Source organism: Homo sapiens, chromosome X, assembly GCF_000001405.40.
Source record: "Homo sapiens chromosome X, GRCh38.p14 Primary Assembly".
NCBI lineage: Eukaryota > Metazoa > Chordata > Mammalia > Primates > Hominidae > Homo > Homo sapiens.
In genome coordinates, this window is record NC_000023.11 from 75,594,924 (window position 1) to 75,610,270 (window position 15,347).

General features: G+C 39.7%; 1 long non-coding RNA gene across 11 annotated transcripts in view; it reads left to right on the forward strand.

The window, feature by feature from the left end:
- LOC107985664 (uncharacterized) overlaps positions 1-15,347 on the forward strand; it is a 270,484-nt gene that overhangs the window by 71,797 nt on the left and 183,340 nt on the right. For 10 of the 11 annotated variants that reach the window (XR_007068273.1, XR_001755894.2, XR_007068272.1 and 7 more), the window contains one exon: positions 9,995-10,099. This is a non-coding gene — a long non-coding RNA (uncharacterized LOC107985664). Of the gene's footprint in view, positions 1-7,493; positions 7,945-9,994; positions 10,100-15,347 lie in introns of those variants that run through there. The other variant, XR_007068271.1, reaches the window with a different exon arrangement.

The window sequence follows — 15,347 nt, forward strand, 5'->3', positions numbered from 1 at the left end:
CTTTTTCTTCTCAGTGCCATCCTGCCTAGGCTCCCATCATCTGCATCTGATGCCTTTCCTTTCTTTCTTTGCTAGTCTCCTTTGCAGTGGGACATGGCTAAGCTCTGTAGAGCTGCCCAAAAACTCATTGTCCCATCCTGTAGCCAGTAAAACATACCTCCAAAGTATCACAGGGTAATTCTACTCTCCCTTCCAAATTAAGCCCACCAGAAATATTAGTGAAAGGACATTAAAAATGTAACAGGTGACATGTTTAGCTAACATGGATCTGGAGAAATAGGAAGCAGTAGAATTAAATGTTTCACTTTTAGGTTTAATTGTATTTGTTCTTGGGTTTTGTTTTATGCTGAGTTTTAAATATATTCTCCAAATAAAAACATTATTTTTTCTAACCAAAAAAAAAGAAAACATATATCCACACAAAACTTTGTACACAAATGTTATACTGGCTTTATTCATAGTAGCTAAAAGGTAGGAAAAATCCAGATGCCTTTAACAAGTAAATGAATAAGCAAATTACAGTACATTTATACCATGGAATATTACTCAGGAACAAATAGGAGTAAGCTATACATAGATGCAAGTTGGACAATTCTCAAAGGCATTATACTGAATGAAAAAAAGCCAGTCTCAAAATGTTGCATAGAATAATATTCCATTTATAGATCCTTCTCAAAAAGACAAAATTAAAGTGTCGAAAAACAGATTAGTGGGTCTCAGGAGTTAAGGGTGGTGATAGGATATGACTACAAAGTAATAGCATGAGGGAGTATTTTGGATACTGTAGCTGTCTTTTGTCATGATTATGATAGTGTTATATGAGCCTATGCCTGTGTAAAAATTCATGGAACTGTAGACCAAAAATACCATTTTGCTTTATTATAAAAACTGAATTTAAAATAAATTTAATATAAAAATACTAACCATGTAGTTAATTAAGTATGGATGCAAATCACTCAAAATAGTGGAATGGAGCTATATAGTGAACCTTAAGTATTCAGCAGAGGAATTGGGGATTTGTTCATCAAGTAGTGGTGAGGAAATGAACATTTAAGTTGAGCAGTGAAAAGTCTATTGGGAGTTGATTTATACAAATACCACTTTGAAAAGAATGGACGACAGATGGAAAGAAGTGAAACAGAAAACGGGAAATATTCTGTATGAGAGATAATAAACCTCTAAAAGGAAAAGGAGAGCAAGAAGAGAAAAGGTTTGGTGAGGTCTAGATTTGTTACATGTTATGATAAAATCTACAGGAATTCCTCACTGATTTCACTGGCAGGAAAAAAATGCTTTGTTAGTAAATTCTTTATTTGAAAGGACCCTTCCTTCCTTCGCTTTGACTAAGAGCCCAACTTTATAAAATTCTAGAACAGCGGGACTTTGTGTATACATTTGCTAGGCAACACTCTATCTTGTGTCAGAATGGAAGTTCTGGAATGCAGATCCTGGGACACAACTAGCCATGCCAAAGAATGCAGACTCCTCACCACCTGACTGTTCTGTGAGTGCTGGCTCTATCCCCAGATTCTCACAGTAATAATAGCTGAAACTTACTGACTGCTTACCATGTGCTAGGCACTGCTTTTTTTTTATTATACTTTAAGTTTTAAGGTACATGTGCACAACATACAGGTTTGTTACATATACATACGTGTGCCATGTTGGTGTGCTGCACCCATTAACTCTTCATTTAACATTAGGTATATCTCCTAATGCTATCCCTCCCCCCTACCCCCCGACAACAGGGCCCAGCGTGTGATGTTCCCCTTCCTGTGTCCATGTGTTCTCATTGTTCAATTCCGACCTATAAGTGAGAACATGCAGTGTTTTGTTTTTCGTCCTTGTGGTAGTTTGCTGAGAATGATGGTTTCCAGCTTCATCCATCTCCCTACAAAGGACGTGAACTCATCCTGTTTTATGGCTGCATAGTATTCCATGGTGTATATGTGCCACATTTTCTTAATCCAGTCTATCATTGTTGGTCATTTGGGTTGGTTCCAAGTCTTTACTATTGTGAATAGTGCTGCAATAAACACACGTGTGCATGTTTCTTTATAGCAGCATGTTTTATAATCCTTTGTGTATATACCCAGTAATGGGATGGCTGGGTCAAATGGTATTTCTAGTTCTAGATCCCCTATGAATCGCCACACTGACTTCCACAATGGTTGAACCAAGTTTACAGTCCCACCAACAGTGTAAAAGTGTTACTACTTCTCCATATCCTCTCTAGCACCTATTGTTTCCTGACTTTTTAATGATCACCATTCTAACTGGTGTGAGATGGTATCTCATTGTGGTTTTGATTTGCAATTCTCTGATGGCCAGTGATGATGAGCATTTCTTCTTGCGTCTTTTGGCTGCATAAATGTCTTCTTTTGAGAAGTGTCTCTTCATATCCTTCGCCCACTTTTTGATGGGGTTGTTTGTTTTTTTGCTTGTAAATTTGTTTGAGTTCTTTGTAGATTCTGGATATTAGCCCTTTGTCAGATGCGTAGAATTCAAAAATTTTCTCCCATTCTGTAGGTTGCCTGTTCACTCTGATGGTGGTTTCTTTTGCTGTGCAGAAGCTCTTTAGTTTAATTAGATCCCATTTATCAATTTTGGCTTTTGTTGCCATTGCTTTTGGTGTTTTAGACATGAAGTCCTTGCCCATGCCTATGTACTGAATGGTATTGCCTAGGTTTTCTTCTAGGGTTTTTAAGGTTTTAGGTCTAACATTTAAGTCTTTAATCCATCTTGAATTAATTTTTGTGTAAGTTGTAAGGAAGGGATCCAGTTTCAGCTTTCTCCATATGGCTAGCCAGTTTTCCCAGCATCATTTATTAAATAGGGAATCCTTTCCCCATTGCTTGTTTTTGTCAGGTTCGTCAAAGATCAGATAGTTGTAGATATGTGGCATTATTTTTAAGGGCTCTTTTCTGTTCCGTTGGTCTATATCTCTGTTTTGGTACCAGTACCATGCTGTTTTGGTTACTGTAGCCTTGTAGTATAGTTTGAAGTCAGGTAGCGTGATGCCTCCAGCTTTGTTCTTTTGGCTTAGGATTGACTTGGCAATGTGGTCTCTTTTTGGTTCCATATGAACTTTAAAGTAGTTTTTTCCCATTCTGTGATAAAAGTCATTGGTAGCTTGATGGGGATGGCATTGAATCTGTAAATTACCTTGGGCAGTATGGCCATTTTCACGATATTGATTCTTCGTACCCATGAGCATGGAATGTTCTTCCATTTGTTTGTATCCTCTTTTATTTCATTGAGCAGTGGTGTGTAGTTCTCCTTGAAGAGGTCCTTCACATCCCTTGTAAGTTGGATTCCTAGGTATTTTATTCTCTTTGAAGCAATTGTGAATAGCAGTTCACTCATGATTTGGCTCTCTGTTTGTCTGTTATTGGTGTATAAGAATGCTTGTGATTTTTGCACATTGATTTTGTATCCTGAGACGTTGCTGAAGTTGCCTATCAGCTTAAGGAGATTTTGGGCTGAGACGAAGTGGTTTTCTAGATGTACAATCATGTCATCTGTAAACAGGGACAATTTGACTTCCTCTTTTCCTAATTGAATACCCTTTATTTCCTTCTCCTGCCTAATTGCCCTGACCAGAACTTCCAACACTATGTTGAATAGGAGTGGTGAGAGAGGGCATCCCTGTCTTGTGCCAGTTTTCAAAGGGAATGCTTCCAGTTTTTGCCCATTCAGTATGATATTGGCTGTGGGTTTGTCATAGATAGCTCTTATTATTTTGAGATATGTCCCATCAATATCTAATTTATTGAGAGTTTTTAGCATGAAGGGTTGTTGAATTTTGTCAAAGGCCTTTTCTCCATTTATTGTGATAATCGTGATTTTTGTCATTCGTTCTGTTTATATGCTGGATTGCCTTTATTGATTTGTGTATATTGAACCAGCCTTGCATCCCAGGGATGAAGCCCACTTGATCATGGTGGATAAGCTTTTTGATGTGCTGCTGGATTCGGTTAGCCAGTATTTTAGTGAGGATTTTTGCATCGATGTTCATCAGGGATATTGGTATAAAATTCTCTTTTTTTGCTGTGTCTCTGCCAGGCTTTGGTATCAGGATGATGCTGGCCTCATAAAATGAGTTAGGAAGGATTCCCTCCTTTTCTGTTGATTGAAATAGTTTCTGAAGGAATGTACCAGGTCCTCCTTGTACCTCTGGTAGAATTTGACTGTGAATCCATCGGGTCCTGGAGTTTTTTTGGTTGATAAGCTATTAATTATTGCCTCAATGTCAGAGCCTGTTATTGGTCTATTCGGAGATTCAACTTCTTCCTGGTTTAGTCTTGGGAGATTGTATGTGTCGAGGAATTTATCCATTTCTTCTAGATTTTCTAGTTTATTTGCGTAGAGGTGTTTGTAGTAATCTCTGATGGTAGTTTATTTCTGTGGGATCAGTGGTGATATCCCCTGTATCATTTTGTATTGCGTCCATTTGATTCTTCTTTCTTTTCTTCTTTTTTAGTCTTGCTAGCAGTCTATCAATTTTGTTGATCATTTGAAAAAAGCAGCTCCTGGATTCATTGATCTTTGAAGGGTTTTTTGTCTCTCTATTTCCTTCAGTTCTGCTCTGATCTTAGTTATTTCTTGCCTTCTGCTAGCTTTTGAATGTGTTTGCTCTTGCTTCTCTCATTCTTTTAATTGTGATGTTAGGGTGTCAATTTTAGATCTTTCCTGCTTTCTCTTGTGGGCATTTAGTGCTATAAATTTCCCTCTACACACTGGTTTAAATGTGTCCCAGAGATTCTGGTATGTTATGTCTTTGTTCTCGTTGGTTTCAAAGAACTTATTTATTTCTGCCTTCATTTTGTTATGTACCCAGTAGTCATTCAGGAGCAGGTTGTTCAGTTTCCATATAGTTGAGCAGTTTTGAGTGAGTTTCTTAATCTTGAGTTCTAGTTTGATTGCACTGTGGTATGTGAGACCGTTTGTTATAATTTCTGTTCTTTTACATTTGCTGAGGAGTGCTTTACTTCCAACTATGTGGTCAGTTTTGGAATAGGTGTGGTGTGGTGCTGAGAACAATGTATATTCTGTTGATTTGGGGTGGAGAGTTCTGTAGGTGTCTATTAGGTCTTTTTGGTGCAGAGCTGAGTTCAATTCCTGGATATCCTTGTTGACTTTGTGTCTCATTGATCTGTCTAATGTTGATAGTGTGGTGTTAAAGTCTCCCATTATTATTGTGTGAGAGTCTAAGTCTCTTTGTAGGTCTCTAAGGACTTGCCTTATGAATCTGGGTGCGCCTTTATTGGGTGCATATATATTTAGGATAGTTAGCTCTTCTTGTTGAATTGATCCCTTTACCATTATGTAATGGCCTTCTTTGTCTCTTTTGATCTTTGTTGGTTTAAAGTCTGTTTTATCAGAGACTAGGATTGCAACCCCTGCATTTTTTTGTTTTCATTTGCTTGGTAGATCTTCCTCCATCCCTTTATTTTGAGCCTATGTGTGTCTCTGCACATGAGATGGGTTTCCTGAATACAGCACACTGATGGGTCTTGACTCTTTATCCAATTTGCCAGTCTGTGTCTTTTAATTGGAGCATTTAGGCAATTTACATTTAAGTTAATATTGCTATGTGTGAATTTGATCCTGTTATTATGATGATAGCTGGTTGTTTTGTCGTTAGTTGATGCAGTTTCTTCCTAGCCTCGACTGTCTTTACAATTTGGCATGCTTTTGCAGTGGCTGGTACCAGTTGTTCCTTTCCATGTTTAGTGCTTCCCTCAGGAGCTCTTGTAGGGGAGGCCTGGTGGTGACAAAATCTCTCAGCATTTGCTTGTCTGTAAAGGATTTTATTTCTCCTTCACTTATTAAGCTTAATTTGGCTGGATATGAAATTCTGGGTTGAAAATTCTTTTCTTTAAGAATGTTGAATGTTGGCCCCCACTGTCTTCTGGCTTGTAGAGTTTCTGCTGAGAGATCAGCTGTTAGTCTGATGGGCTTCCCTTTGTGGGTAACCCGACCTTTCTCTCTGGCTGCCCTTAACATTTTTTCCTCATTTCAACTTTGGTGAATCTGACCATTATGTGTCTTGGAGTTGCTCTTCTCGAGGAGTATCTTTGTGACATTCTCTGTATTTCCTGAATCTGAATGTTGGCCTGCCTTGCTAGATTGGGGAAGTTCTCCTGGATAATATCCTGCAGAGTGTTTTCCAACTTGTTTCCATTCTCACCGTCACTTTCAGGTACACCAGTCAGACGTAGATTTGGTCTTTTCACATAGTCCCATATTTCTTGGAGGCTTTGTTCATTTCTTTTTATTCTTTTTTCTCTAAACTTCTCTTCTCGCTTCATTTCATTCATTTGATCTTCCTTCACTGATACCCTTTCTTCCAGTTGATCACATCGGTTACTGAGGCTTGTGCATTCATCACGTAGTTCTCGTGCCATGGTTTTCAGCTCCATCAGGTCCTTTAAGGGCTTCTCTGCATTGGTTATTCTAGTTAGACATTTGTCTAATCTTTTTTCAAGGTTTTTAACTTCTTTGTCATGGATTCAACTTCCTTCTTTAGCTCAGAGTAGTTTGATCGTCTGAAGCCTTCTTCTCTCAACTCGTCAAAGTCATTCTCCATCCACCTGTGTTCATTGCTGGTTCGGAGCTGCATTCCTTTGGAGGAGGAGAGGCACTCTGATTTTTAGAATTTTCATTTTTTTTCCTCTGTTTTTTCCCCATCGTTGTGGTTTTATTTACCTTTGGTCTTTGATGATGGTGACGTACAGATGGGGTTTTGGTGGGGATGTCCTTTCTGTTTGTTAGTTTTTCTTCTAACAGTGAGGACCCTCAGCTGCAGGTTTGTTGGAGTTTGCCGGAAGTCCATTTCAGACCCTGTTTGCCTGGATATCCTCAGCGGAGCCTGCAGAACAGCTCATATTGGTGAACCGCAAAGGTTGCTGCCTGATTCTTCATCTGGATGTTTTGTCTCAGAGGAGTACCTGGCCTTGTGAGGTGTCAGTCTGCCCCTACTGGTTGGTGGCTCCCAGTTAGGCTACTCGGGGGTCAGGGACCCACTTGAGGAGGCAGTCTGTCCGTTCTCAGATCTCCAGCTGCATGCTGGGAGAACGATTACTGTCTTCAAAGCTGTCAGACAGGGACATTTAAGTCTGCAGAGGCTTGTGCTGCCTTTTGTTTGGCTATGCCCTGCCCCCAGAGGTGGAGTCTACAGAGGCAGGCAGGCCTCCTTGACCTGGGGTGGGCTCCACCCAGTTCGATCTTCCTGGCCACTTTGTTTACCTACTCAAGCCTTGGCAATGGCGGGCGCCCCTCCCCCAGCCTCGCTGCGGCCTTGCAGTTTGATCTCAGACTGCTGTGCCAGCAATGAGTGAGGCTCCGTGGGCGTGGGACCCTCCGAGCCAGGCACGGGATATAATCTCCTGATGTGCCATTTGGTAAGACTGTGAGAAAAGCGCAGTATTTGGGTGGAAGTGACCCGATTTTCCAGGTGCCGTCTGTCACCCCTTTCCTTGGCTAGGAAAGAGAATTCCCTGACCCCTTGCACTTCCCAGGTGAAGCGATGCCTCTCCCTGCTTCGGCTCACACTCACTGTGCTACACCCATTGTCCTACACCCACTTTCTGACAATCCGCAGTGAGATGATCCTGGTACCTCAGTTGGAAATGCAGAAATCATTTGTTTTTTGTGTTTCTCATGTTGGTAGCTGTTCCTATTTGGCCATCTTGGCTGAGGCCCTGCTTTAACTGCTTTCTGTGCACCGTTTGTTTAATCATGTTAAAAACTCTCAGAGGTTATACCATTATCATTCCCTGTTTGGAGATGTAGTAATTAAGACACAGACTTGCCTACAATTCATATAGAAAGTAAGTGATTGAGCCAATATTGAGAACTTAGGTAGCCTGACTCCGTGGCCAAGGCTCTTCAATATTATGCTTTGCTACCTCATAAGAGGCCAAAGATCCTTGAACGAAGGTGAGTAGAAACAGAAAATCTCCTAGTAGCTTTCTCTGCCTTTACTACTTCCCTTCAATCATTTCTTCTTTCTGTGTTACCTACTATTATTGTTATTTTGCCTATGATTAAATACTCCTGTCTCATTAACACTGCCCTCACAGTGACTTGGTAGGAAATCTCTTAGTAGTCCTCATATCTCTGCCTCTATTGTAAGTATTTTATGTGGTGCTTGGTGAGTATTCCTACTAGTTTATCCTACTATGGAACTCTATGCTTGCATATTTCAGAGTCAGAAAGTGAGTGGGGCTGATGGACTGCTGGGATAAACAGAGCAGGCTTTCTATATGAATTAGTTCATGGGTATGTGGAATGAGGATGTCTTGTCTTCATGCTAGAGAAATATCAAAAACCAGGAATAGGGAGCAAGTTTCGCTGAAGGGAGGCTATGCTTGATAATACTAAGTCAAGGAAACTACAGGCAGCTGGTCAAAGCTAGCCTATTACCAGTTTTTGTAAATAAAAATTTATTGGAATACAGCCATCCATTCACTTATGTATTGTCTGTGGCTGCTTTTGTGTGATGACTGCAGAATTGAATTGTTGCAGTAGAGACCATATGGCCCACAGAGGCTAAGATAACTACTATTTGGCCCTTTGCAGAAATATTTTGCCAGCCCTTGATGTATGAGATGGAGCATCCTGTATTATTCGAGGTTTCTATGCAGGGAAATGCTAAGAGATTAAATTTGAGTTTTAGATAGAGACATTTGGAAGCACTGAGAAGAAGAAATCTAGATTCAGGGGCCAGAGAGATCAAAACAGGGTAAAAAAGAACTAGCGAGCACTGAGAGCAAGTAGATAAAAGGGATTAGCATTTAGATGTGCCAGTGAAGATAGGTTTTCCAGGATTTGACTGAAGTGTGTGTGTGTGTGTGTTTGTGTGTGTTTGTATGTGTATGCATGTGTATGTCGAGAAAGGAGGATTTCTAATTCTGAGAAAATGAGAGGACAGAGAGAGGAACATAGTACAAAAAGATAGAAGAAATACCCTCCCATTTCTGTAATTTCTGTTTGAAATGACCACTACATTTCTTTCTGCAGAAAGAGTTTTCTTTGCAGAAATTTTCCCTAGGGCTGGTCTGCCAGTATCTGTATTTCTTAGGCAACAGTGCCCCTAGTGTCTATATGACAGTATCACAATCTGCTAGACAAGATTTCTTGATGAGGGCTTAAAAAAGACCAATTGCAAAGATCACATTGCTGAGACAGTTTTTCTTCTTTGTCAAAATTGATATAGATGACCAGGTACACTCTCACCAGAAATACACTGGTAAAGTCTGCTTATTAGGAGAGGCTGTGGAGGGTGGACCTGGTGTCTTTTTTTTGCCTTGTGAGGCTAATTCATATAAATGTCAGGTATAAAAATAGTATCTTCTTTCAAGAAACTGCCTTCAGCTTTGCCATATCTACAATGCCATGGACTAAGAATAACACCTTAATGAGTTTTGAGGGTTACTTTTCATAGGTGGTCTATGGCAGGAACTACTGAATTTATGAACTGCCCCTCTTTGTCATCCTTTGCCTATCCTTCAAGGCCAGGATAGTTGCCTTCCAGTTGAAGCCTTGTTAGGATGTGAAAGCACAAGAAGATGCCAAGTCAAGATCCAGTCCCAGTTGTGCAAAGCACCACCCCTATCATGTAGAAGCCTGGATGTCTTAGTCCTCAGGGCTGCCCTTACTTTTCCAGGGGATAGCCATAATTCTCAACCAAAAGTCTTTAGTCTCAACCTTAAACACACACTGAGTGTGTCAATTCAGTGCGCGGTCCTCCCTTATACACTTTCAAGGGAGACTGGCCTATCTTTTGGCACTAGCCTCAAGAAGCCAGGAATGGCAGGCAGCCATGAGCTACACATCATGGGAATTAAATTGAAAGTGTAAATGAAAAGAGTATAATGGGGTAGGTCTACTGTGACTTTTGTTCTGCTTTCAATCTCTAATTATTTTGGCATGGAACAATTAAAGTAAATAATGACTAGTTACAATTTTGTCAATATATTTCTTGCAGATTGAATGTGTTCATGCACAGATTTTATCATCTTGTTACTCAAACGACTGATGGCTTCTGACCCTGCCTGAAAATTTCCTAAGAGGTAACAGTTCTAGGACACAGGTGAGTAGCAAGTGGGATTGCCCTCCCCACTTCCTTTTTTATTTTTTCCTGTTTTCACTATTTCCTTCTTTCTTCTCCATCTTTCCTGAATCTAAGTCCTCTCAATCTGGTAACCCCATCACTAATGGACATTTTTTTACTTTATTAATTTTATGTTATTTTTACATGTGATCTATACTTGTCATACATTTTTAAGTGTACGATACAGTATTGTTGACTGTAGGTACATTGTTGTATTCATTGGGGGGTAATCCAGAACCAGCATGTAGACTAGAAAGAATTCTAGAACAGGAGTTGTGAAAAGCTCCTTCTAGAAAGGAGTTGAAGTTTATCATTAAGTATCTTACTGGCATGGGGAATATTGCTTAATATGTCTGATGTCTGGTTTCTCACCTTTATTAAGGGGGTAGAGCCAGATGAGCTCTGAGATACCTGAAATCCATTTGAAATACTTTGAAATCCATGAACACATCTTTTCTAGTTCCCAGTGTTTCTGTGGGAGGATACAGAGATATCATGAGTTCACAATAAAGGAGAGTAAGGAAAAGGGAGAAGATGAAGAAAAGAGCTCATTCAGTGAGAGAGGAGTTAATTCTAACCCATGACATCTGTGGAGACTTTAGGATGAGGTGAGAAGTGAGCATAATTTGAATATAAGGGAAGATAACTTCATGTTAGAGGCTTGAGTTTGATTCTTGGATCACTGGGGAAGCAAGCTTTGGAGCTAGACTTCCTGGGTTTGAATCCAAGCATCACTACTTAGCAGCTATGATATTTATATGATTTAGAATCATCCATACCATGGGGATAAAATGGTAATTTGTTATGATTAAATGAGTTAACATATATAAATGTCTTAGAACAGTGTATGGTAGTTAGTAATGTTTCTGTACAGAGAAATGGTAGGTGACTAGGTAAACTTTTGATACACTTTTTGTAGATACTATTGAAGATGGATGCTAGAGCTTCAAGAGTCAGTTGTAGGTGAAACATAAGCTATTGAGATGTCTTCTGGGCTAGAAAGCAAGCAGGGTTCAGACCCACTCCCTCTCCCTCTCTTGATGTCCCTGTCTGTTTAATCGAGGGGTTTTCTCTGCAGAAATTTTCCCTAGGGTTGAGCCTGAAGGTTCATGTTGGAGGAGAAGTTAAACAAGTATTTGTTCTCTCAAATGCTCAGAAGAGTGCCTGGCTCATAGTAGACACTATATATACATATGTATATATGTGTATATATACTATACATGTATAGTATATATGTATATATATGTATATATACTATATATGTATATATATACTATACATGTATAGTATATATATACTATACATGTATAGTATATATGTATATACATGATATATGTGTTACAAGTGAATGAAAGTTGGGACAATGGAATGAAATAGAGTTTACATTGCACACTAGACAGATTACTCTGGGAATGATAAAACCTTTCTGATGAACTAAGGGGAGAGAGACTGCTGATGTGCATGTCATTTGGGAGGCTCTCCTAGCAGTTCAGGTGAGATACAATCAGGGCTCACACCAGGATATGGGACATGTGAGTAAAGAGTTGATTGAGTGGTGTGGCCTTCCAGAGGTCAAAAGTGTAGAACTGGATAAAAGTGGGGTGGGTATGATGGCTAGTATTCAGCCTCAGTGACTGACCAGTGTAATATGTTTCCTAGAGTAGTAGAAACTGGAGTGGAGGTGATGAAGGTGAGCAGAAGAGGTGAAAGTGGGAAGAAACCCACCTTGCTTTTGCCCCAAGATTTGTTTTCAAGGGCCACTCTCTCTCCTGCTACACCTTGAGGCATATTCCAAAAACCTCCTTTAGGACTTCTGGCCAGGATTTCTATAGTTAGGCCATACTGTCTCTGCGGTTCACAATAAGGTGGGGTGGGTCTTCAAATTGAGAAAGCCAAAGACCATGTGAGCAAAGAAGGTGCTTACCATACTCAATCAGAAGTGGACTTCAGATTCATTAGAGGAGTATGCTGGCATCAAGACACCACTGAATATTTCAAACAAAGGTCACTTCATCATGTGTTTCATTCTGGAATTGGGTATTTTTCAAATTTCCTTATTTTTCACATTCAAATTTCCTTTATATGCAAATATTTAAAATATCTACAAATTCTTGTAAAATAAGACTAAAGAAAGGAGGACTTTCCCACAGTTGAGTCCACTGAACCAAAGTCAATCTGGGTTTTCCCCCGTTTTATTGTTTTCTGTATTTATCCATAAATGATTGGTTTCTCAGACTAGGATGATTGCTCTTCCAAGGCAGGTACCTGCTTTTCCTTGTACATTTCTCCAACACAGTACTTTGCCTGGCATTTCAGGCATCTTGTACTGGTATCTTATGGTTCGAATTTGGCCTCCTCATACCACCATTGATTAGAATTCGAGCTAGAATCCAGGGACTATGAAGCATGAGAACTCTGTAACGCGTCCAAAAGCTGATGTTTTTCTGATGGTTTCATTGATCCTTCTTTATGATAATCAGAAACACCATCAAACAAAAGGGACCTTTGTGCATTTTCCTTTACTTGTAAACATGCAGAGACTTGGTCAATTGCTGTGCTGCAATTCATAATCCGAGGAGGTATTTTTCTTCTCCTGTTTTGCACCACAGGTATGATTGGTGTATACATTAAGGCCTAGCTAGTAGAGTTAGGTGGAAATAGTCAAGATGTGTTATTACTATTTTTTCACTCTAAATATCCTAGTCCACATATATTAAGCTACGGTTGGTGGCTTTTGGTTTTCCAAATGTACATAAGAAAGTAAGTAAAGACAAGTTGGGGATCTTTTAAACTCAAAACATTCTTGTCTTACTGGTCTTTTTCAACAAGTTATCCATATTCTCTAATAAGACTTTAATTATGTAGTCCTTTCACCTTCATAACCCACACATTGGCCCACAGTCAACTGGGTACTTTTTCCTGTGAAGAAGCAACATGAAATGAACCAAGACTCCAGTTACAGCATCATGGTTCTACTCCTGATTCTACTCCTGATCAGACCACTAAGGTGTGTGTGACCTGGGAAAACTCACTGGACATCTCTTTTTATCTTTTGTTATTTTCCCCACTGTGGGAAAGGTAAGGCCTCCAGCCTAGCCTATTCATCCTTCTCCATTTTTCTGATGAGTTCTCTTATCCATTTCCCATAAGAACTGTTTTCAAATTTCTCCACCTTCTTCAAACTTCTATACTGAAACCACAACACACTATTGAGGTAAGCTAGAGTTCATAAAACAAGGTCCCAAGGATAATACATGATCTAGAAGTTCTGCTGAGGCTTGCTGCCTTATTAGTGTTCAAGCCTCAGTGGTCCGCCACTGTTTCCTAGATCAGCACCCTCTCCCCCACACCCATCCTTATGTCATGCCCCCAGGTCCTTGAATATTGTATGTTGTAAGTTATGTGGAATATGGACAATAAAGAGATGCCATGCTGCTGACAGAGAAGTCTCAGACAATGCACTGTAAAAACAAGGTGGAGAAGATAGTCTCATGTATTATGGACCTTATGCAGATGAAATGTGAGGTCATGGGTATGGGAAGGGTTTGATCTGGGTGAATCTGCCAATAATTGGAAGAGATAGAAGTGAAGAGCGTGTGGAGGTATATTGTGGTCTACAGGCATACCTATATCCCTCGCATTTATTGTTTTTTGCATTTATTCATTTACTGTATAAGAGCCAACCTACTCCATCCAACCACTATGCTAGATACTAAAAATCTTGACACCACAGGAATTTGGAAAGTACAACACAATATGGTCTGATGTACCATAAAAATGGAATGTTTGCACTGGGTTTACTGGAAACTCATAAGAGGGCCACCTCATCTGGACTTGTGTTTCCATGTCAGCTTCTGGAAGGAAGTAACATCCAGTCTGAAACCTAAAGCATGAATAGTCATTGCACGGGCAAGCAGAGGTGAGAGATTGTGTTCTTGGCAGTGTGATTTGGCTGATGCAAAGGTCATAGAAACACAAAAATTCTGCAAGTTACAGAAAATATATGGATTTTGTAATGCTTGTCAAGAGTGAAGGAAATGGTATGTAAAGCCTGGGAATTATTTTCTACAGATTTAAGGCAAATAGATAGTGGGGAACCAAGTTAGTGGGAAGTTTAATTGATACAAGAGATATTAATTGCATGAAATGTATAAGATTTGAGCTTATACTGAAAGACTGGGGTGAGGTCTTTCTAGCACAGACTCTGGTTAAAGAAGAGCCATGAGCCAGATGTCAGAAATGTTAGAATTTTGGATGTGTTAGTGGAGTACCAGTGGTGATGTTCTATTTCCTGAAAAGTTTTGAACATTTATCAAAGATAAATTTAGTATATCCTTTAGTACATGGGAATTTCCTTTAAAATTTGTCCTTATGTTTGTTTCCTGTATGGAAAAATCATTGAGAAAACCAGGGAAAGACTGGATGAGTTGGGGGGAGGGGGGACTGGTGGCCTGGAAATTGATTCACAAAGGCTACAATAATGGATTAAAAGAAAGGCGCTGAATTGCCTGCCAGAGGCAGTGGGAGGGGTGTGCCTTCTCCTTGTCTCCCCTTATTTGCATGTGAGACCGAGGTCCCAAGGAAACAGATGAGTCGAAAGGTCGTTTTTTCCTTTCTCACTGTCTTTGCACTCATATTGTTTGAGTCCCATGTCTCTAGTATAATGAACAGTGCACACACAAAAAGGAAAGACTGCTGGCCTGGAAGCCTGGTGGCCTGGATCCTGGTCTGCTTTCTACCACTAAACGATTGTGTGTCCTTGAACAAATTCTTTAACATCTCTGATTTCCAGTTTTCTCTCTGTAAAGTAAAAGTAGATGTGCTTTGAATTTCCAGTTTGTACCTTGTAGTATTTGTATGTGTCTGTAGGGTGCCCAGTTGAGAAAATAATGCAGTCCCTGCTGTGTGGTGTCTTAAAATCCATATACATATAGCCGACTGTCATATAATAATGCTAATGATGAGAACCTTATGAGAGATATTGCCTTCAGTGACAGAAAAGGGAGTGATAAAAATTTCAGCTTAGGGAAGTCACAAATTTCTCATGTCAGTGATAAGATGTGAGCACAGCTTTGAATGATATAATAATGGGGGACAAATCAGGTTGAAGGAGCTAATCTCAGAATGTATAGGGCTTATTTTAGGGACACAACAAATAGTCCACAATGGATGGATCATGAAGTGTTTTAGGAAAGGTATTGCTTTTGAAAAGTGGATGGGAGCTAGA